The sequence below is a fragment of the Homo sapiens genome, chromosome 10 (assembly GCF_000001405.40).
Source record: "Homo sapiens chromosome 10, GRCh38.p14 Primary Assembly".
In the NCBI taxonomy this organism is placed as follows: Eukaryota; Metazoa; Chordata; class Mammalia; order Primates; family Hominidae; genus Homo; species Homo sapiens.
The window spans coordinates 22,002,996-22,025,892 of record NC_000010.11 but is presented as its reverse complement, the minus strand read 5'-3'; the positions used below and the strand labels follow the sequence as shown (position 1 = coordinate 22,025,892).

At 40.2% G+C, this 22,897-nt stretch overlaps 1 protein-coding gene across 4 annotated transcripts in view, besides 7 other annotated features; it reads left to right on the top strand.

The window, feature by feature from the left end:
* Positions 3,079-3,512: an enhancer, noted in NCBI's record as "nonconserved acetylation island sequence 68". NCBI's record gives its function as "activates a minimal heat-shock promoter by reporter assays in Jurkat T cells {active_cell/tissue: Jurkat}" and the evidence as "EXISTENCE:reporter gene assay evidence [ECO:0000049][PMID:17135569]".
* Positions 10,719-11,013: a silencer, noted in NCBI's record as "tiled region #4958; HepG2 Repressive non-DNase unmatched - State 24:Quies". NCBI's record gives its function as "represses a minimal TATA promoter and a strong SV40 promoter by Sharpr-MPRA in HepG2 cells {active_cell/tissue: HepG2}" and the evidence as "EXISTENCE:reporter gene assay evidence [ECO:0000049][PMID:27701403]".
* Positions 21,910-22,039: an enhancer, noted in NCBI's record as "active region_3126". NCBI's record gives its function as "activates an Ori minimal core promoter by ATAC-STARR-seq in GM12878 lymphoblastoid cells {active_cell/tissue: GM12878}" and the evidence as "EXISTENCE:reporter gene assay evidence [ECO:0000049][PMID:35858748]".
* Positions 21,910-22,529: a biological region, named in NCBI's record as "H3K27ac hESC enhancer GRCh37_chr10:22292323-22292823".
* Positions 21,999-22,499: an enhancer, noted in NCBI's record as "H3K27ac hESC enhancer chr10:22292323-22292823 (GRCh37/hg19 assembly coordinates)". NCBI's record gives its function as "activates a minimal SCP1, AML or CMV promoter by ChIP-STARR-seq in primed H9 embryonic stem cells {active_cell/tissue: H9 hESC(primed)}" and the evidence as "EXISTENCE:reporter gene assay evidence [ECO:0000049][PMID:30033119]".
* Positions 22,070-22,119: an enhancer, noted in NCBI's record as "active region_3125". NCBI's record gives its function as "activates an Ori minimal core promoter by ATAC-STARR-seq in GM12878 lymphoblastoid cells {active_cell/tissue: GM12878}" and the evidence as "EXISTENCE:reporter gene assay evidence [ECO:0000049][PMID:35858748]".
* Positions 22,160-22,529: a silencer, noted in NCBI's record as "silent region_2199". NCBI's record gives its function as "represses an Ori minimal core promoter by ATAC-STARR-seq in GM12878 lymphoblastoid cells {active_cell/tissue: GM12878}" and the evidence as "EXISTENCE:reporter gene assay evidence [ECO:0000049][PMID:35858748]".
* DNAJC1 (DnaJ heat shock protein family (Hsp40) member C1) overlaps positions 22,163-22,897 on the top strand; it is a 247,183-nt gene continuing 246,448 nt past the window's right edge. For all 4 annotated transcript variants that reach the window (NM_022365.4, XM_011519614.4, XM_047425628.1 and 1 more), the window contains exon 1: positions 22,163-22,680. In NM_022365.4, the coding sequence (NP_071760.2) occupies positions 22,459-22,680 (222 nt within the window). In that variant the 5' untranslated portion in view covers positions 22,163-22,458. The remainder of the gene's footprint in view (positions 22,681-22,897) is intronic.

The window sequence follows — 22,897 nt, the reverse complement described above, 5'->3', positions numbered from 1 at the left end:
GTATACTTTAAATGGATGAATTGTATGGCATATGAATTATATCTCAATAAAGCTATTACCAAAAAGGGGGAAAAGGACTAAAATACAAAACTCTTAGAAGGAAACATAGGCATAAATCTTTATGACCTTGGATTAGGCTATGGGTTCCAGAAACACAGCAACAAAAAAACACATAAATTGTACTTCATCATAACTAAAATCTTTTGTGCTTCAAAGGGTACCATCAAGAAAGTGAAAAAACACCCACAGAATAAAGAAAATATTTGTATGTCTCAGATGAGGAAATTATGTTCGGAATATATAAAGAATTCTTATAACTCATTAATAAAAAGACTACTCAATTTAAAATAAGCAAATGATTTAAGTAGACATTTTTCCAAAGAAGATATGCAAATATATAATAAGCACGTGAAAAGATGCTTAGTGGCATAGTCACTAGGAAAATGCAATTAAAACCAAAATGAGATACCACTTCACACCCACTAGGATAGCTATAATTTTAAAAAACAGAAGATAATAAGTGTTGGTGAGGCTATAAAATGGGAACCCTCATATATTGCTGGTAGAGAAGTGGAATGATACAACCACTTGGAAAACAGCTTGGCGATTCCTTAGAAACTTAAACATAGAGTTATTAAATGACCCAGAAATTTAACTGATAGCTATGTATGTGTCTTGGTTCACTTGTGCTGTTATAACGGAATACCACAGACTGGGTAATTTATAAAGAAAATAAGTTCATTTTTTGACAATTCTGGAGGCTGGGAAGTCTAAGCTCATGACACCAGCAGATTTGGTTATCTGGTAAGGGCTGCATCCTCTGGAGGGGAGGAACACTATGTTCTTACATCACGGAAGGCTAAAAGACAAGAGAGCCCAAGGCTGTGTGAAGCCTCTTGTATAAGAGCCTTAATCTCATTCACTAGGGAGAGGTCCTCATGGTTCATGGTCTAACCACCTCTTAAAGGCCCCATATCTTAATACTATCACATTGGCAACTCCTGCATTTTGGAGCGGACACATTCAAACCCTAGCAGTTATGTTTTGGTGTTAAAACGTACCATGACTCACATTTTAACCAGCCAGATGTTAGGGGGATAGGGGAGTTTACGAATGATATATCATGAGATCCAGAGGTCACAGCAGAAGAGTCTGGGAAGACAGAAAAGGGTGGGAAGACAGGTCAAATTAGTAGATGTATGATTAATTCAATAGTTATTCTTCTCACCATTTCAGACATTTCAGTGGGGAAAATTTAAATGTTCAACCAGTGATGTTAGAAAGATGTATGAATCAACCGGGGCTGATATGGTTGGTGAGGAAGGGTCTCCCCTGAAGGCGGGAAGCACCTTCCTGAGAAGCAGCAGATCCCTTTTTCTATGGGAACAGCCCATCCTGGTTGACCATATACTGAACTGAGCACAGTAGGAGAATTAAAAGTTAGTATGTGTTAGAAGGAAGCCCTCTATCCTCCTCTTCATATTTTCAAAGAAAGGAGAAAATGTCCACTCAGTAAGAGAGAGAAATATGGGAGGAACCTTCAAGGTTTTCTCTGTCCCTTCACTCACTTCTCCCCAAACCTGGGAAGTAATTTATTTTTGAAAGGACAGAGCATGTGTGGTCCAGTCTTCTCTAAATTTTCTTTGTTGATGAAGGTCAACTACTCCTTGCCCACCTTTCCTGAACCTTTCCAAGGTCAGCAGAGTCCTGTAGAGAAGGGGACTTTTTAGGGATACTGATAATGGCTATAGCTCAGATTGTAATCTTCAGTTAAGTCTTATCAGTAATAAAGCTGGTATTTTTATGTCAGTATGCTTGATTCTAGCATCTATTTCTTATTTGGTTTTGAGCTAAGAGGGAGAACAAAGGTTTATTACTTAATGGCCTGTAAAATTCCCCAAAACTCTTAACAATAGAAAGCCAGATCAATCAGAAGGACAGAGAACACTTGAGTTATTATCTTCTGTCGCTGCTAGAGGTAATGGGAGCTAAGAGGTGAGCAAAGGGCATAATCAGGTGCTGTTATTGGTGCTCTGTTGGGCATCACGAATATGTACAAGGCTCCAGGAAGGTTCTTTGTTCCCCCGAGAGTCATATCTCCTGGGTCAGTAAGATAGAGACTGTCATTTCTTCCGAAGAGTGATGGGGTTGTGGCATGTGACTGAAATATAAATACCAGATTCAGTTAACTTCCCTTCCACTTACTCAACACACATTTGTTGAGCACACATCAGGCACTCATTGCATTGTACAAGGTGCTGGAGATGTGAAGCTGAACATGACAGACAGAGGATCTTGTTCCTTATAGACCTTTCCATCTGCAATGGAAAGCTCTTTGCCTCCTGATACAGCATTTTGCCTCCAAAGTGCAGACTGTTTATCCCTCTTAGGCTTCAGACACCCGGGACCTGGAGGAGGAGACAATCCTCTTTGCTCCCCAAATGCTGTCTCCAGGCTTTATGACTCCTACTGTCCTTCAAAGTTCACATCAACAAACTTTCCATCTGCTGCCCCTCTGTTGCTGGCATCTATCTGTCTTGATCCTCCCCCTCAATCACTGATGACTTTCACACTGGGCCCACTCTCTTCCACGTCTACTCCTGTCTTCATTTTCTGATGACTCCAATGGCCTTGTGGATAATCCATCTGAGACAGGGTGCATCTCTAATTTCCTGAGTGTTTTCTGTGTATTTATCTCCTCTTTTTGCTCTCTCTAAAAGCCTGAAGGCAGTTTTCCTCTATCCCAGCACACAATGAAGAAGCAAAAACTCACATATGCCTCTGCTGTGAATATGAGACAAAAAGACTCTGACACAGGCTTACCTAGAAAGAGAGGGTAATGGAAATGGTTTGCAAAGAAGAGGAAAGCCTAGAAAGAACAGAGTTCTTGAAATGAAAGGGGGCGGGGCGGGGGAGGGCAAGACAGACTCACAGTGGCAAGAACCAGGAAGTGGAGTAGACAGGACTCAGTGCCGAACAAGCATCAAGCGGGAAGGAAGCTCCCACCCACTGGGGACATCCCGTTGTTTCTGGACATTTACTAATGTCCTTGATCAGAAGGTGGAGAACTTGGTCATCTTGTGTAGGGATAGAGGCATGGAGCAAAAACCACATCTCTGGCCAAGGTGGAACTGTGGAGGATCAGATTAGACTGTCCTAAGCCCTGTGCTGCAGTGACATAGCCCCACTGCCACACATTTGTACCATGGCCTCTCAGTCCCTTGACTTCTTGCCTCCAAATATCTCTTCCTTAACCCACTTCAGATACCCACTGTTATGACAACGACCTTTTCATCAACAAGGACCCAACCCTGTCTGCACCCTAATATTCTCTTTCTACCTTTCACCAATGCACGCTTTGCAACCCTCATTAACTTCCTTCTTGTCTCTCTCCTCCGCTGTACTTTGGCAAAGCCCCAATCTGGTTAAGACCAACCATCTGTCTGTGCTGTGCCTGTCCCTGAGTAGCCAAGTGTTGCTGAAGAAAAACACATGGCCCTGCTGAACAGTCTCACTATAAATCTGTAACTGCAGATCTCAAAGGGTACTCAGTACTTCCCAGGATCCTCTTACATCCCTGAAATATTTCCTCTTCCAACTCCAAGCTGGGTATGTAATACCTTCTTTCCCATCAGGTAACCTATGTACAGTTCTCCTTCCTTCACCTCACTTCATCAGACAAGACCCTCTTCAACCCTCCTTCACCAAAGTCACTGTATTACCTGCCCACACCCCACCCCGCTCCTCTCTCTGCCATCTCCTCCCAGTGGCTCTGGACCCTGTCCTCTTTCTTGTGCTCAAGAACTCTGCTTCTACAGTTCCTCTAGATTTTTCCTGCCAGCATCCAAACATGCTGTAATCTGCCATAATAAAACAACAATAACAGGTCAGGTGAGGTGACTCATGCCTGTAATCCCAGCACTTTGGGAGGCTGAGGCGGGCAGATCATTTGAGGTCAGGAGTTTGAAACCAGCCTGGCCAATATGGTGAAACCATGTCTCTACTTAAAAATACAAAAATTAGCTGGGCGTGGTGGCAGGTGCCTGTCATCCCAGCTACTCCCAGCTACTCTGGAGGCTGACAGGAGAATTGCTTTAACCTGGGGAGGCGGAGGTTGCAGTGAGCTGAGATCATGCCACTGCACTCCAGCCTGGGCGACAGAGCGAGATTCAGTCTCAAAAAATAAATAAATAAACAAAACAACAACAACATCTAATTTAGCATCATGGCACCTTTCAAATTCCCCTCTCATTCCTGTGCTCCCTTTCAAAGCACAGCATTTTGAAGGCAGTGATATAATTACTGTTTCCACTTCTTCCTGTCATACCTTGTCTTCAATCCACTCCATCCAGTTTCCGTCCATATCACACCATGGAGATCACTCTTGCCGAGGTCTCTGCTGTCCTTTATGTTGCCAACCCCAGGATCCCATCTCTGCACTTATTATTTTTAAATTTTTGATTTTTAATTTATTAGAGACAGGGTCTCACTCTATTGCCCAGTCTGGAGTGCAGTGGTGCAATCATAGCTCACTGCAACCTTGAACTCCTGGGCTTCAGTGATCCTCTCACCTCAGCCTCCCAAGTAGCTGGGACTACAGGCCTGTGCCACCACACCTGGCTAATTTTGTATTTTTTGTAGAGATGAGGTTTTGCCATGTCATCCAGGCTGGTCTCCAACTCCTGGGCTCCAGCAATCCTCCAGTCTCGGCCTCCCAAAGTCCTGGGATTACAGGCTTCAGCCACCACACCTGGTACTGCATTTAACTTACTCTCCTGCAAACAGCATTGTACACAGTGAACTACTCTATCTCCCCTTCTTCCTTTTGCTTCCAAGGCACACACTGTTTTTGTTATTCTCAGACCTTGCTCACTATACCTTGTCAGTCTTTGTTGGCCTCTCTTTTCTTCCTTTCCTTTAAACAAATGGTCCCTCCAAAAGGGCACAGTCCGAGAAGAAAACATTAGAGCTTCTATTTTTTTCTCTGAAAAAAATAAAGAATTAAGCTTTATGTAATATGTAATACACATTTTATGCTGATGCCCTTTCTTGATTAAGATTTCAGAGAACTACAAATCACATATGCCACACAGGGCATGCTGAGGGAAGAGTGGATTTTCCACAATCAGAGTGGTTACAATGGTATACTGTAGTTTCTGAGTGCACAGTTGCATGGATTTATGGATTACATATTTTTTAATTTTTTTATTGTGATAAAATATACATAATGTGGAGTACCATTTTAGGTAATTTTTTTTTTTTTTGAGATGGAGTTTCGCTCTTGTTGCCCAGGCTGGAGTGCAATGGTGCAGTCTCGGCTCACCGTAACCTCTGCCTCTCCGGTTCAAACGATTCTCCTGCCTCAGCCTCGTGAGTAGCTAGGATTACAGTCACGCACCATGGTGCCCGGCTAATATTGTATTTTTAGTAGAGACAAGGTTTCTCCATATTGGTCAGGCTGTTCTCAAACTCCCAATCTCAGGTGATCTGCCTGACTCGGCCTCCCAGAGTGCTGAGATTACAGGCATGAGCCACCGTGCCCAGCCTTTTAGGCATTTTTAAGTATACAGTTCAGTGGCATTAAGCACATTCACATTGTTGTTTGACCACACTACCATCCATCTCCAAAACTCTTTTATCTTATCCAACTGTATCAATTAAACACTAACTCTCCATTCTCCTTTCGCCCAACCCCCTGGCAACCACCATTTTACATTCTGTCTCTATGAATTTGACTACTCTAGGTACCTGTATGGTGTACAAATCATACAGTATTTGTATTTTTGTGCGACTTATTTCACTTAGCATAATGTCTTCAAGGTTCATCTATGTTGTAGTATGTGTCAGAATTTCATTTCTTTTTGAGGCTGAATGATATTCAACTTTATGTATATGCCACATTTTGTTTATCCATTCATCCATCAGTAGACATTTGGATTTCTTCCACTAATTGGTTATTGTGAATAATTGTGCTATGTAAATGGGTATACAAATATCTGTTTTAGTCCTTGCTTTAAGTTCTTTTGGGTGTAGACCCAGGAGTGGAATTGCTAGATCATTTGTTAATTCTGTGTTGAATGAAGAACTGCTATACCATTTCCTACAGCAGTTGAACCATTTTACATTCCCACCAGTAATGCATAAAGGTTCCAGTGTCTCCACATTCTCACAGTACTTCTATTTTCCTTTTCATTTTGTTTATAACAGGCATACCAATGGGTGCAAAGGGATTTCTCATTGCAGTTTTGATTTGCATTTCCCTAATGATAAGTGATGCTGGACATCTTTTCATGTGCTTGTGGCCATCTATATATCTTCTTTGAAGAAATATCCGTTCAAATCCTTAGCCCATTTTGGGGGTTGTTTTTGCTGTTGTTGTTGTAGAATTGCTCTTTATATATTCTGGATATTAATCCCTCCCTTATCAGGTATATGATTTGCCTTTTCACTTTGTTGATGGTAACCTTTAATGCACAAAAGGTTTTAATTTTGATAAATTCCAATTTACCTATTTTTCTCCTTTGTTGCCTGTACTATTGGTGTCATGTCCAAGAAATAATTGCCAAATCCCTCTGTATTTTAAGAGTTACAGTTTTAGCTATTATGTTTAGATCTTTGATTCATTTTTGAGATTGAGTCTCGCTCTGTCGCCCAGGTTGGAGTGCAGTGGGGCGATCTCAGCCCCCTGCAACCTGTGCCTCCCGGGTTCAAGTGATTCTTGTGCCTCAGTCTCCTGAGTAGCTGGGATTATGGGCGCACACCACCATGCCAGGATAACGGGATAATTTTTGTATTTTTGGTAGAGACGGGGTTTCACCATGTTGGCCAGGCTGGTCTAGAACTCCTGACCTCAGGTGATCCATCTGCCTCAATCTCCCAAAGTGCTGGGATTACATGTGTGAGCCACCATGCCCAGCTGATTCATTTTAAGCTAATATTTTATGTGATGTGAAGGAAGGGGTTAACTTTATGATTTTGCATGTAGATATCCAGTTTTCCCTGCACTATTTGTTGAAGACTGTTCTTCTCCCATTGAATGGTCTTAGCACCCTTGTGGAATATCATTTGACCATATGGTATATGAGAAGGGTTATTTCTGGCACCATTTGACAATATGGTACATGGGAAGGGTTATTTCATATACTGTAAGGTATATGAGAAGGGTTATTTCTCTCTTTTATTCCATTGGTCTATATGTCCGTCCTTATGCCAGTACCACACTGTTTTGATTACTGTAGCTTTGTAGTAAATTTTGAAATCAGGAATTGTGAGTCCTCCAACTCTGTTCTTTTTAAAGATTGTTTTGGCTATTTGAAGTCCTTTGAGATTCCACATGAATTTTAGTATGGATTTTTCTCCTTTTGCAAAAATCACTGGTGGGATTTTGATAGGGATTACATTGCCTCTGTAGATCACATTGAATAGTATTGACATCTTCATGATATTGTCTTCCAATCCATGAACACAGGATGTCTTTCCATTTATTAGTGTTGTCTTTCATTTCTTTCAGCAATGTTTTATAGTTTTTATAGTTCTTTTCCCTTGGCTTGGTTAAGTTTATTCCTAAATTTTTTATTGTTATTGATGCTATTGAAAATAGAGCTGTTTTATAAATTTCCTTTTTAGGTTTTTTATTGTTAGTATATAGAAACACAACTGATTTTCGTGTGATTATTTTGTATCCTGCAACTTTGCTGAATTTACTAGTTCTAATAGAGTGTGTGTGTGTGTGTGTGTGTGTGTGTATCTGTAATCTTTAGCCTTGCATTTACCTTTGATTTTTCCCTTTCTCTCTTGCCTATATATGCAAATAACCACCAGCTCATTTCAGTTTGTTTTGATTTCACAGTGTTTCTGATCTTTGACTCTCTTTAGTCTCCTTGCAATCCAATGTGATCAAATGACATTTGTATCCAGAATGTCTGGGATGGTGTGTGAAGAATTCATTTTCTAAAATAGTCATTTTATCTTGCTTTCCCACTCAAAACTCTAGGAGTTTCATGTAACAGTAGAGCTTCCAGTCTACTCCCCCCCTCATCTCAGAGGTAGCACTAGTAGTTAAAAGCTTAGGCTCTGGGGTCAGGAGGACCTGGTGGAGGTGGAGATGCTGCTTACTAGCTGTGTAGCCATAGTTAAGTTTCTCAGACCTGCTCATTCTTTTTTCAGCTGGAAACTGGTGATCATAATAATAACTCCCTTGTAGGGTTATTGGGAGGCTTAAATGGAATAATGAATGTAAAGCATTTAGTGAAATACTCTCTTTCCTGTCCTCTCTCCCTTTGAGGCCTTTAGCTTGACTGTTTCTCCAAAGACACAGATGAAACTGATCTCCTGCCTCCTCTTATCTGTGTTACTCTTTTGGCACTTACCACCTACTTCCTTGTACTGTTTATTATCTTTTTGTGTGTATCCGTGTTATCTTTCCTACCAAATTGTAAATTCTCCAAGGACTGAGAGATTGTCTTTTTTTTCTCTTCTTGTGTTTGTGGCATGTTGTAATACAATGACTTACGACATGGTAAAAGCTGAGTCAATATTTGCTGTTTAATTGTTTGACATAATGAAATCCTTCGGTGGCCTGATTTCCAACATCTTGAGAACTGATATTTCATTTATTTTATCTGAGTTTTTTTTTCAGTGTTTCAGACTTCCGATATTCATCTTGGTCAGAAGTATTAGTTCCCTACTTCGATTTTTAAAAGCTGACAACATTTAAAGATCACTAACAAGAAAGTATTAAAGATGTCGTTACTTCCTGGAAACCATCTGAGTATATTTCAACCTATGTCTCTATCAAAAGTGGGAAAAACGAAGATAGACCAGGGTGGCCAGATAACATACCCAGTTATATCTGAATGTCAGATAAACAACGAATGACTTTTTCATATAAGTATGTCTCATGCAATAGTTGCTTATCTGACATTCAATTTAATTAGGTATCCTGTATTTTTATTTGCTAAATCTGACAACCCTACCATGAAGCTTTAAGTTTCAGGGAAAAAGGAAAATGGGCATAAGCATTATTCTTTTGGAAATGAGACTATTCCTCTGTACTTAAAACAAAATGTTTCCGTGTCAAAAGAATACAGCTTGAGAGGTCATTATGAAACAACTTTTTACAACTATGACCTTACCTAAGATATGTGATGATAAAGCTAATGAAAGATAACATTAACTGAAATATTGACAAACAATGCTTTTGAATATGAATGAAAACATTGTTTCTGTGAAATGCAATTGTGTACCAAATCAAAGAACTGGCTGGGCTTAAAAATCTTTTCTAATGAGTACGTAAAATTGTCATAGCATTTGCATATCTCTGTCTTCCTGAAAATACTGCTGCTCGGTCTGTTGAAAGCATGACCTTGAACTTGCAGGAAATCTTGAGAAATTATCTGTGGCAAGTCCTACCACAACTGAGAAGAACATAATATAAATCAGAATTTCTTGGCTATATTTACTCAGGATGGCAATGAGAATTTTTATGTGATTGAAGAACTTTTGGACATATTATTCATTATGGCACCATCTTAGTATCTAACTTGTTTTTGAGTCATGAATAGTTTAATACATACTAATCAAAAATGAGTAATTGCAAGCAGTGTTTCTGTGGAGTCAGAGTTAACTTTGGACTTGTTACCAATGTAACCAATGATTTTCATCAATACAGCCGGTGAGTCAATTCATCACATCCTTTACCAAGTCCTTCACTTGGCCCCGGGTAGTGAAACATGGACGTCATCTTGGAAGTAGTAGCTTACTTAGAGCTGGATACTTTACTATAGCTTACTTGATTGTTTTTTTGTAGGAATCTGATGTAATACAGTCATATATCTGGCAGGAATCTGACATAATACCGTCGGTTATAACTCTGAGAGAGAGACAGGAGTCTTCATTTTTAAATTCAATAATATTTATTGAAAGCCCAATGTAGGCTAATCACTAGTTAGAGGAATGAACAAGATAAAGTCCTTGCTATCATGGAGCTTGCATTCTAGTGAGCAAATCAGACAATAAACAAATGATGCATAAACAAGGGAAATTAACCAAGTGGTAGCAGAGAAGTGCTATGCAGATGATTTAATAAGGTAGTGATGTTTTTTTAAGTTAGGTGATGTTGGGGCTCAGAAACAGATATCCCAAAATATGGTGCTTAGACATGTGGAACTGAAGACGAAGCCTCAAGGTCTCTCTGACTATCCCCCCACCTTCTGTCTCTCATCTGTTGTCTCTGTCAAAGCAAAGGATGAAGCTGTTCTCTGAAGTTCCCTTATCTGCTTAAAATTTGGGCCTGTCAAAGAAAATAATTACCTCTGTTGCCTTCCCTGAGTGTATTTCATTAACTGAACTCACAGGGCCCGAAGAAAGACTGAAGTCTGTCAACACACCTGGACAGACTTGTCACAAACCACTGTCTGTTCTGCAGGCCCAACAGACTTTGTCCCAGTCCACTGTATATTCTTCAAGACTGTTGAATTTGCCTAAAAATAATTTGCCACTCCCCTAAAATCTTTCACACTTCCCCACCTCCCTTTCCCCTAAGAGGAAGGGTATATAACCATCCATACCCCATTGTATGGTGAATTAATCACTCTGTGATTCTCCCCCATGCACATGCCTTTTCTCCTATTCATCTGACTTTTGTCCACTGGTTTTCAGGAAGCTGGGCCTTTAGAGGGTGAAGAGAAAGTTTTCTCTTGGCCCCTGCAGTGATTGGGATTGGCCTATGTAGGGTGATGAAATTTAAATGCAGGCCTGAATGAAGGGAAGAAGCCAGTCATGCAAAGATCAGGAAGCAGAGCTTTGGAGCAGAGGAAGTGTGACGGCCCCAAGACAGATGAGCTTGGTGTGCTCCTAAGGAAGACCAGTGCAGGGAGAGGAAGGCTGGAAGGAGATAAGGCTGAAGGTAGGCAGGGGCCAGGTTATATAGGATTTTAAAGAACAGGAATTTATTCTTAGTGTGATGGGAAGACACAAGGCTTTTCAATTAAATATTAAATAAACATATTTTGAAGCTGGGCATGGTGCCTCACGCATGTAATCCCAGAGCTTTGGGAGGCCAAGGTGGGAGGATTGCTTGAGCCTAGGAGTTCGAGACCAGCCTGGGTAACATACAAGATCCCATCTCTACAAAAAATTTAAAAATTAACTAAGTGTGGTGGCACTCACCTGTAGTCCCAGCTACCTGGGAGGCTGAGAGGTAAGAGAATTGCTGGAGTCCAGGAGTTTGAAATTACAGTGAGCTATGATACTGCCACTACATTCCACCCTGGGTGAAAGAGTGAAATCCCATCTCTTAAAAATAAAAAACAAGGTCCAGGTGCGGTGCCTCACGCCTGTAATCCTAGCATTTTGGGAGGCTGAGGCGGGTGGATCCCAAGGTCAGGAATTCGAAACCAGCCTGGCCAACATGGTGAAACCCCGTCTCTACTAAAAATACACAATTAGCCGGACATGGTGGTGGGAGCCTGTAGTCCTAGATACTCGGGAGGCTGAGGCAGGAGAATCCCTTGAACCCAGGAGGTGGAGGTTGCAGTGAGCTGAGATGGCACCGCTGCACTCCAGCCTGGGCAACAGAGCGAGACTCCATCTCAAAAATAAAAAAATTAAAAAATAAGTAAACAAATAAATAAACACATCGTGTATTCTTTTGAGATAAAGGGGATGTTCTAACAATGAGAAAAAAGTAGATGTTTTGAAAGAAAATTGAACAATGGATAAAGTACTTTTTTAAAATAAATCAACCTTAAGACCAACCTTCTAATTATTGTATTACAAAGTATTCATTAAACAGGATTTTCCCAAAAAGTGAAGAATATTACTATCATTTTTTAAAGACTGACATGGTTAAAAAATGATGTGTTAATTTTGAAATCTGATTTAACACTTTGTGATAAAGTAAAGGTCTGAGTCCAATTCCAATTTATTTAGATGCCTAGTTTTAGTGGCTGTCGTAGGGAAGAAATATTTCTTGCAAAGAGGCCTAGATCCCAGTGAAAGAAGTGTATGGCTGGCTCTGCCACTAAGCCATAGACTCGTTTTTCAGTTCCGTTCAGCAACCCTGCAAAGGTTTTCGCTAAAATTTAGCTTAGTTATTTTCCATCCTCCCTGATGTCAAATAATTGTTCTTCTCATGGACATAGAGAATAGAAGGATGGTTACCAGAGCCTGGGAAGGGTAGTGGGGTGTTGGGGTGGGTTGGGAATGTTTAACGGGTACCAAAAAAATAAAAAGAATGAATAAGACCTACTATTTGATAGCATAATAGGATGGCTATAGTCAATAGTAACTTAATTGTCTATTTTAAAATAACTTAAAGAGTATAATTGGATTGTTTGTAACTCAAAGGATAAAGGCTTGAGGGGTGGGTACCCCATTCCCCATGACGTGTTTATTTCACATGGCATGGTTGATATGCATGCCATATCAAAACATCTCAAGTATCCCATAAATATAAACACCTACTATGTATCCACAAAAATTAAAAATAAGAAAAAAATTTTAAAAATTGTTTTTGAAAGCTAGTTGAAAAGTGAGAATTTCTTATATTTTGAATAAATGGATTTTAATTTTACTGAAAATCTTCATTGGGAAGATTTTAAACAAGTTGTTGGGGACCCAAATATGAGATTGTTTATTGGTGGCATATATCATTTTTGACAAATAAAAAAATCTTATGATGATGGAAATACTTTCAAACATCTGTTTCCATGCTCTCACTATAGTATGAGCTTCTTTGTCATTCATTGTTAAAATATTTCTTATCTTAGCAAAATTCTGTAAGTGCAATTAAACTTTTTAAGAAAATGCCAGGTAGCGTATTATTGACAACTATTTGCCATCAAAAAGAGGTCAGAAAATTTGCCCCAAGGCAAAGTGCTGTCAGAGTACACCCACAGGAGCTGGTGGAAGTCAGCGTGGGAATGGTCACTTGGCTGAGGCTAGTTTCTGTATGAAATGGAGAAGGATTAAAAAGATGCTCGGGGGTCACTAAAACAAGATATGATGTACTAGAGTGAAAAGTTTAGCCTTTGAGCAATTGGTGTCTAGGCAACAGCTTAAGGACCCACTCAGTGACAAAAAGCTGATTTTGTCATTTCACGCTAAAACAATCTTTTAAAAACCCAATCAACAACAGAGAAAACCAACAAACAAATAAACAAAATAACGCTTTATCTCTAAGTTCCCCTCCATCGCTAATATAACAGGCAGTAGGTCATAGAATGTTTTTTAGTGTGCCTCTAAATAAACCCTTAACACTGACTTTTGCAACTTCTTTTTCTCCTTATATTTGCTTTCAACATTTATTTCAGTATGACTTCATCTGGATAGAAATGGATTTCACCTGGATTTCATCTTTAGGTGAATAACTCAATTCTGCAGCCCATAGTGATAGCCCTAATGCCAGGGGGCGACAGTGGAAATAATGACCAGGCTTGGGAGAGCAGTAAAGAGAAAGAACAAGTAGCAGATCTTGCCAGGCCACTGTGACATCTTCATTCTCCTCCAGCTCTAATTTGAAATAGTGGCATCATTATAATCGATTCAGGGAAATGTGGTCTCCGTGGGTACTTAGGAGCAGGAAAAAGGGAAAACGAACTAAGCCAAGAGAAATAAAATGTGGTTGTTTTTCTGTACCACAGATACCTTGATTTAAAAACTCTATTTTGCTTCCATTGATAGAATTTTTTACCAAGTTACAAGTCAGAAGTAATCAAATATCCTTAAACTTCAGAATATGATGGACCAAAATTTTCACCAAAGTTATTCTTATCATTGCCTGCTACTGATAATATATTGTACTGATCATTTTGTTTTTTGTGGATTAGTTATTCACAACTCTGGTACTTTATCAAGTTCAGTGTATCAAGCTCTCAAAAGAGATAATTTGTGATTTGATATGTTTACCAGTTATTATCATTTCACAGTTATAAAATTAACAAATGGCAAAGCAGTAACCAAAACAAGAGACAAAAAATCCAATTTTAGAAGGAGGTAGAAGGCTGGGTGCGGTGGCTCACACGTGTAATCCTAGCACTTTGGGAGGCTAAGACGGATGGGTCACGAGGTCAGGAGTTCAAGACCAGCCTGGCCAAGATGCTGAAACCCCGTCTCTACTAAAGATACAAAAATTAGCCGGGTGTGTTGGTATGCTGCCTGTAATCCCAGCTACTCAGGAGGGTGAGGCAGGATAATTGCTTGAACCCGGGTGGCAGAGTTTGCAATGAGCCAAGATCACGCCACTGCACTCTAGCCTGGGCAACAGAGCAAGACCCTGTCTCAAAAAAAAAAAAAAAAAAAAAAAAAAAAGGAGGAAGTAGAGATCTAAGTATATGAGTTAATCATATTAAATTAACAAAAAAAGCAGAGCTGAAATACATGCTTAGAAAGCCAGTGACCACAATATACTATGTACTAAAAGCAATGTAAAGGCCACCACAAACAAAGGCTACATAGGCATTAAAAAAGTTCAATTCTATTTTTCTGCCTCATGTGCAAATATATGAAAGAAAAGGGTAAAAGGGAGGGAATCTTTTTAAAGCATCTAAAAATTATAGTAAATGGAAAAGCAACAGGTTAATGGTGACTTGTACAATTTTCTCTTTTATAAGCATGATTTCTCCTTAAATTTAAAGGTTTAGGTTCGAATTAGTGTCTTTTAACTTGAAGCTATTGAAATGGTAACAACAACAACAAAAAATATGTTCACACAAGATCATTCCTTTAGAATGTTAAAAATATCCTTGGCCTATAAAAATGTTGTTTGCCCCCTGGTGGTGAAATTATTATTATTTAATTTTTTTTAAGTTAAAAGACTTTAATTATGGAGTCTTGGCACTAAACACCCTTCTGTCACAAGCAAAAATAATACAGCATTACATATTTATATATTAGAAGTGGAGAGAGATGAAGCTGGATTGCTGTACGGATTAGCAAAATGAGAATGATTCAATAGTCATATTTAGGAAAGCAAATTTAAATTTCCCATATCTTACCATTTGGAACTAAGTTTTCCTTAATCTATCTCTGTTTGTTTCTGTGTTGGTCATATTGCTAGTTCAGTACTGTAAAGAATGCTGCCTCCTTTTAGTAAATGTAATAACGTATTTATGAGGCATGGAATTTCTATACATAAACTAGACCTTTGCTGGGACCTGTTGATCGTGGTGAAAAGCAACTTTGTACTGTTTTGCCTTGTGTTCCAATTTGGCATCACAAACAATATTAGGGCTCAGCGGCAGAATGCCAAAATCGAGCTGTAAGGCCTGAAAGACTAGATGATGAAGAGGTCTGCAAAAATTTCCTTTTGCAAACTAATTGGAGACTTTGTATATGAGGAAAATGCAATGATTGCTGTGTTCAGGCTGAATTGAGGAGAGTAGAAGAGAATATCTGGGTTGGTTAAAGGAACAAGGACAAAAACTAATTTTGAAATGTTCAAGAGATTTAAGTGAGTTACTAGACAACTTTGAAAAATTAATGATAATCCTGGAACTGTAGATGTTAGAAGAAAGAAATTTTAACATGGATTTTATTGTGACACATTAAAGTCCGGGGAAAGCAGAAAACCTCACTGTCTGAAAATACAGAGCTAAACCAAAGGAAAATGATGACAGCGGCCAACTCTTTAGTGGCTAAATCACTGCATGTGAATATTTTCCCTTCCTTTTGTTCAACTGAGTGCCTGCTCTTAATACAGCATCTACTGTTTAATCTTAAGCTGAATTTAGCAGGGAAATAATGAATAATATGTTTTTATAAAGCTGGAGCAAAAAAAAAAAATTAAATTGACTTTTACAACCAGTCATTTTTTGGTAAAAATAAAACAAAACTTGTCTCCCACCATCCTGGGCAAACAAGTGATTGGATACATTTTTGATGAAGTAGGCAATTACAGCCCAAGCTTGATAATAAATGCCTGTTTTTTTTTTTTTGTTTTGTTTTGTTTTTTTTTTTTTTTTTGAGACAGGGTCTCGCTCTGTCACCCAGGCTGGAGAGTGCAATGGCAAGATCTCAGCTCACGGCGACCTCCGCCTCCCAGATTAAAGTGATTCTCCTGCCTCAGTCTCCTGAGTAGCTGGGACTACAGGCGCATGCCACCACACCCGACTAATTTTTGTATTTTTTTTTTAGTAGAGACAGGGTTTCACCACGTTTGCCAGGCTGGTCTTGAACTCCTGATCTCATGATCCGCCCATCTCGGCCTCCCAAAGTGCTGAGATTACAGGCATGAGCCACCGCACCCAGCAACAAATGCTTTTAAAGACAACATCTAAACATTTAAAAACAGATAAGAGTTATTTATAGAAACCTTAATACAGTATAGATGGAGACTTCCCATAAAATGACAATAACATTTAAACAGCAATTACTATATACCAGACACTAATTATTCCACTTCATTCCCACAAGAACCTTATGATTTGGGGAGTAGTCTGATCCTAATTTTAGAGATGTGGAAACTGAAACTCGGAGATCACCCTAAGTGGTAGAGCCGGGGTGCAAATGTAATCAATCTGGCTCTAGAATCTGTGCTCCTCTTCACCAGGAGATTATTTAAGTAAATAGTACATTATTCAGGGAAGTGAAAACCATAGTGTCAACATATTAGAAATATATTTATTATTTATAACATGAAGAGCATCTATATTTATTTATGAAGACCTTCAAAATGATTAAAATTCAATACTGCAATACAAAAGGGATTATTTTCTAAGGAGGTGCTCCGCCAAAACAATATTTTTCTAACCTTTGTCGACTCAATGTAAGTTTGTGAATGGTGTTTGGATAAATACGTTACTGAGTGAAGATAACGTTCCATTAAAGAACAATGGTATCTTAGAATTTCAAGCTCATATATTTGAGAAACAGCCATATAGGAGCCAATGAGACTATTTTAAGATGTAACGAGGGCCAGAATTTTTAAAATCATGGGGTAAACAGGCCACTAATGATGATTTAAGGAGACATTTGGACTTTGACTATAACACATCGATGTTATATAGTCAATTTTGTTTGATATAGTTAAATTTGATCTTACCCAAAAGCGAAGGATAGACTACCAGATGGTTTATTTAAACCTCTTTGAGTCCTACTGGTCTATTAAATTACCAGTATTCTTTCACCTTTTTCTCCGGAAAGTGGTGGTCATTATGATGTTGAAGTTCTCATGCAACAAGATCAAAACTCCCATCAACCTCTATGTGAGTGACCCACCCAATACTCTGGATTCTCCCTCCTCTCCTCATTGCCAATGGCATATTCTTCCAATGCATCTCAGCCATACATGATCATAGCCACACCTTGAACTGTGGCAGTACCAGAACCTACAAAATGATGACATAAAAAAAATTATGCATGAGCTGATATGCTCCCAGCTCACCTGCATAAGCACCATGATAAAAACAACTAGATGTCTTCATTGGAATCTTCACTTGAATTTATCCTGTAGTTATTTGTGTAACTCCTTATGTTGAACACATAGCTCATTAATTTTCTGCCTTCTTTCCTTAAGACATTTAAGGCTACAAATGTTCTTTTTTTTTTTTTTCCCAAGACAGAGTCTCGCTCTGTGGCCCAGGCTGGAGTGCAGTGGTGCAATCTCACCTCACTGCAATGTCCATCTCCCAGGTTCAAACAATTCTCGTGACTCAGCCTCCAAAGTAGCTAGGATTTCAGGCGCACGCCATCATGCCCAGCTAATTTTTTTTGGTAATTTTGGTAAAGATGGGGTTTTGCCATGCTGGCCAGGCTGGTCTCAAACTCCTGATCTCAAGTGATCTGCCCACCTCAGCCTCCCAAAGTGCTAGGATTACAGGCGTGAGCCACAGTGCCGTGCCACAGATGTTCTTTGAAGTTACTGCCTTCACTACATCCCACAAGCTTTGCTGCAGTTTGGCGATGATATACTTAGATTTGCTTTGCTTTGTTGCATTTATCCATTTTGGGGTTTGTTGAGTGTATTGTATTTGTGAGTGGTTGTTTTTTTCTTTCTGTTTTAACAGCCTTAGTGAGATACAATTGACGTACTACACAATTCACCTATTTAAAGTATATTTAAGTCAGTGTTTTTTTAGTATTTAATATACTAAACCGGGTTATACAATCATTGCCATAATCCAATTTTAGAACATTTTCACATCCCCTAAAAGAAATCTTACAGTCATTAGCAGTTAATCTGTAACCTTATCTACTCCCTATCCCTAAGTAACTACTAACCTACTTTCTGTCTTTGTAAGTTTGCCTATTCTGGACATATCATATAACTGGAATTATACAATAGGTGATTTTTTTGTGACTGGCTTCTTTCACATGGCATGTTTTCAAAACTCATCGATGTCACAGCATATATCCACACTTCATTTCATTATATTGCAGAATAATATTCCACTGCATAGATATACCACACTTTGTTTATTCCTTCTTCAGTTGATGAGCATTTGGGTTGTTTACAAACTTTTTGATTATTGTGAATAATGCTGCTATGAACATTTTTGTACAAGTTTTTGTGTGGCCATATGTTTCTTTTCTCTAGAAGTGGAATTGTTGGGTAATATAGTAACTCTACATTTAGCTTTTGGAGGAACTGCCAAATTGTTTTCCTAAGGGGCTCCATCATTTTGAGTTCCTAGCGGTAATGTGAGAGGGTTCCAATTTCTCCACATGTTCAACACTTTTTCTTGTCTATCTTTTTGATTATAGCCATCCTACTTGGTGAGAAGTAGCATGTCATTGTAGTCTTGATCTGCATTTCCCTGATGACTACAGATGTTGAGCATCTTTTCATGTGATTATTGGTCATTTCCATATTTTTGAAGAAATGTCTATTCAACTTGTTTGCCCATTAACAAAAAAAGGGGGGTTGTTTTAGTTGTTGAGTTGTAAGAATCTTTGACAAATTCTGGATCTAAGTACCCTATCAAGTATGTGGTTTACAAATATTGTCTCCTATTCTCTTGTCTTTTTACTTTGTTGATAATATTGTTTGCAGCATACGTTTAATTTCTGTGCAGTCCAATTTATCTATTTTTTTTCTTCTGTCATTTATGTTTCTGTGTCATATATAAGAAACCACTGGCTAACCCAAGGTCACTAAGATTTACTCCCTTTTTTTCTTACAAGAGTTTGGTAGCATTAACTCATACATTGAGGTCTAGGATTCATTTTGAGATATTTTTTTCATCTGTGGTTTTATGTCTTTCATTACTTTTGTAAAATTCTTGGCTATTATATCTTCAAATATTGCTTCTGCTTCATTCTCTGTCTCCTCTTTTTCTAAGGCTCCAGTTATACCTATCCTGGGTTTATTCATTGTACACATGCCTATTAAGCTGTGTTCTATTTTTTCCATTTGTTTTTCTCTCTGTGCTTGAGTTTAGGTATTTTTTCTTGCTCAGTCTCCAAATTCACTAACCCTCTGTTCTGCTGTGTCCAGGTTGCTATTAAACTGATCCATTGCAATATTCCTTTCAGAAATTACATTTTTCAGTTAAATATTTTCCATTGATTCTTTTTTATGGATTTTAATACTCTTAAAATTCTGCATATTTTAATCCATCTTGTTCATGTTTTCTTCTATTTTATAACCTATGGCTTTATTTCATAATAGTTATTTTAAAGTTCTTATCTAAACTTCAATAGTTGGCTTATCTGTGGATCTTCTATTATTTTTTTTTTCTTGATTGTTGGTCAAATTTTCCTGCTCTTCTCACACCTCATAATTTTTTTTTACAAATGTTAGACTTTTATATTAAAGATCTATAGACAATATAGATGATGTTATTTTCTTCTAGGGATAAACATAGACAAATAGGATGATGTTCTGATTATCTCTGTCTAATCAAGGATGAGCTGGGTTGGGATTGGGGTGCGGTTTCAGTAAGATAGTTCTCTTGTGGTTTCTCTCTCTTCTTCATGTGTGATTCCTCTGGGCTTTTGATCAAGAGCCTGGACAGCTGCTGTTTCCTCTGCTCTGAGATTCAGTTCTGCCTTTGAGAGGTTTTAAACGTAGATCTTCAGCCTCCTTCTCATACAACTTCAAAAATAGTGTAAATGTCTTGAAGGGGGAGAATGCTTGTGTATTTGAGGCAGGATCCTTCTAAGCAGAATTAGCTTTCTATGCAGTAGAATATGGGGTAATTTTACTCTGCCTATCACGCCCAGCTGCTCAGCCTCCTGCACCACCCCAGAACTCAGCGAATGTCCTGTGGGAAAACTGGCTATATGTTTGGGGCTCCTCTATATTTCCAATCCATTTCACAGCTCACATGATGGTTAAACATCTCACTGGTTTCTCTTTTTCTGTGTAAACTCCCTCTGCCCAGGCCAAGCTGGATGAGTCTATGCCCAGAATTAGTACATGTCACCAGGGAAGAAAACAGTGGATACTGTCACTCCCTTAGTTCAGACCTCAGCAAAAGATTTATTCAATTGCACTGTAATTTTTGGGACAATGACTGAATAGGTAAAGAGGCCAAGCTAGAAGTCTAAATATGAATATCACTGTGGTCTTTGCAGGAACCTGGACAAGCAAGAAGATCATCTCAGGGTGGACAAGTGTCATTGGAGCTGGGCAGCATGAATTTTTGAGTAATACCTTATGTCCATGAGAAGTATTATTAATAGAATCCAATTCTGTTTCAGCATGGCCTTAGAAAGAGGATGGGCTATCTTTAGATGGAGTAAGTCCCCGAGGTTCTCAGACAACATAAAGGTAAAACTCAAAAGGGAAATACTAGGCTGTCTGCTACAAGATCGGGGTAAGAATCCCAGATTTGTGGCAATATGGCACCAGTTTCAAAGGTTTTATTGCACTTAATCTAATGATCAAATTAGGAGAAAAGATGAATGTTACTATAATATGTAAAAGTAGTGCTTAAGATCATTAATTTCATCTTATTTCGATGTTTTGTTCATTGAATAAACAGTAACCTAATTTAGGGACTTGGTAAAGATGACGTTCACTTTAAGAAAACTGATATAACCAAAAATAAACTAGGCTGGGGGTGGTGGCTCATGCCTGTAATCCCAGCAGTTTGGGAGGCTGAGGTGGGTAGATCACATCATGTGAGGTCAGGAGTTTGAGACCAATCTGGCCTACACGGTGAAACCCCGTCTCTACTAAAAATACAAAAAATTAGCCAGGCATGGTGGCAGGAGTCTGTAATCCTAGCTACTCGGGAGGCTGAGCCAGGAGAATTGCTTGAACGTGGGAGGCAGAGGTTGCAGTGAGCCGAGATGGTGTCATTGCACTCCAGCCTGTGCAACAAGAGCAAAACTCCGTCTCTAAATAAATAAATAAATAAACTAAAAATCTGTGGTAGGGGGAATGGTGGTAGGGAGGTAGTCACAGGATTCAGTTCAACTAATTGAGTGCTCTCATGTGCTATGCATTGTGCTAAGCACACAATAATAAAGTCCACACAAGAGAATTGTGGTGGAGAAAATAACTTGAAAAGAGCTTGAACAGAAGCAATGCAAGACTAGAAGGTGAGACATTGTTATGGGAGAGGAGGTTTTTAGCCTGTCTTTTAAAACAGAAACATCTCAATTGAGGTCTGTTTTCAAAGGAACCCCAACTGGAGGTGGGCTAAGGTGGATAAACTACATTTCTCCTCCAACTATGATTGAGTCACCATTATTAACTGTTAATTCTACCAGGTCATTTTATGGTATTATGCCTGTAAATCTTAATTCATAATTAGAAGTATACTTTTTGTTTTGGTTTCAATTCCTTTTCTGCTCTACCTCTCTCTACTTACTAGATTTGCCCCTTTTAGAACCTGGTTCAACTTGTCCTGTCTTCTTTGCTGATGGACTAATTAAATGCATGGAAGCCATAATCAATTAATCAGGCTTCAAATATGCTTTTAGTGTTCGATAGCTAGGGGAGAGGAAGACAGTAGCTATTTCAGGGGAAGTCCACGTGGGGCGTTCCAGATGGACGCGAGATGGCTATAACCGTCCCTGTCTCTCAGCCCATGTGGGCGCAGGTACAGCTGCTCCGTGCGCGCCAGTGATTGAGAGGCATTTCACCCAGGCCCAGATCTGGGGCGCCAGGCGTCCAGGCTTCCGGCCACGCCCCCTTCCCGCGGTTGCTAGGAGACATGATGTCACCGGAAGCGAGGCCTGGGATAGGCTGAGGCGAAGGGAAGCCTCACCCACTGTGCAGCCCAGGCGCCGGGCGCTGCCTCTACAGCTGTGTGTAGGCCTGGGGGCGAGGGTCTTCGGAACGTAGCGCTGGCTGCGGCCCCGCCCGCCTACCCACCCGCCCGTCCGGCAGCCGGCTCCCGCCGCCTCCGCGCTCTGTCTGGGGCCAGCCACCTGGCGGGCCGCTCCGGTGCGCCTGCCCGCGCTTTTCACTGACAGGCGCTGTTCCCCACAGCCAGCGCCGCCCGCCACGTCCCAGCTCTCGGCCAACGGAGCTGCGCGGCGGGTGACCTTTCCGAGCCCAGCGCGATGACGGCTCCTTGCTCCCAGCCGGCGCAGCTTCCTGGACGCCGCCAGCTCGGGCTGGTGCCGTTCCCGCCGCCGCCGCCGCGGACGCCGCTGCTGTGGCTGCTGCTGCTGCTGCTGGCCGCCGTGGCGCCGGCGCGCGGCTGGGAGAGCGGAGACCTGGAGTTGTTTGACTTAGTGGAGGAGGTGCAGCTCAACTTCTACCAGTTCCTCGGGGTGCAGCAGGTAAGCAAGGAGGCGCGCGGGGCCGGGCGGAGAGGGGCCAGGGCAGGCGTCAGGCGACCCGGTTCCTCAGAGACAGCCGGACACGTAGGGCAGGGCTTGGTCACCCCGGGCTCTGGCTGCCCTCAGCTCGGGTCACCGGGGTCCTCAGCCTTGGAAGGACGTGTCCGTCTTCCCCAGATCTTTACTCCTGCTTCAACTTTTCTAGTCCCAGCCCCAG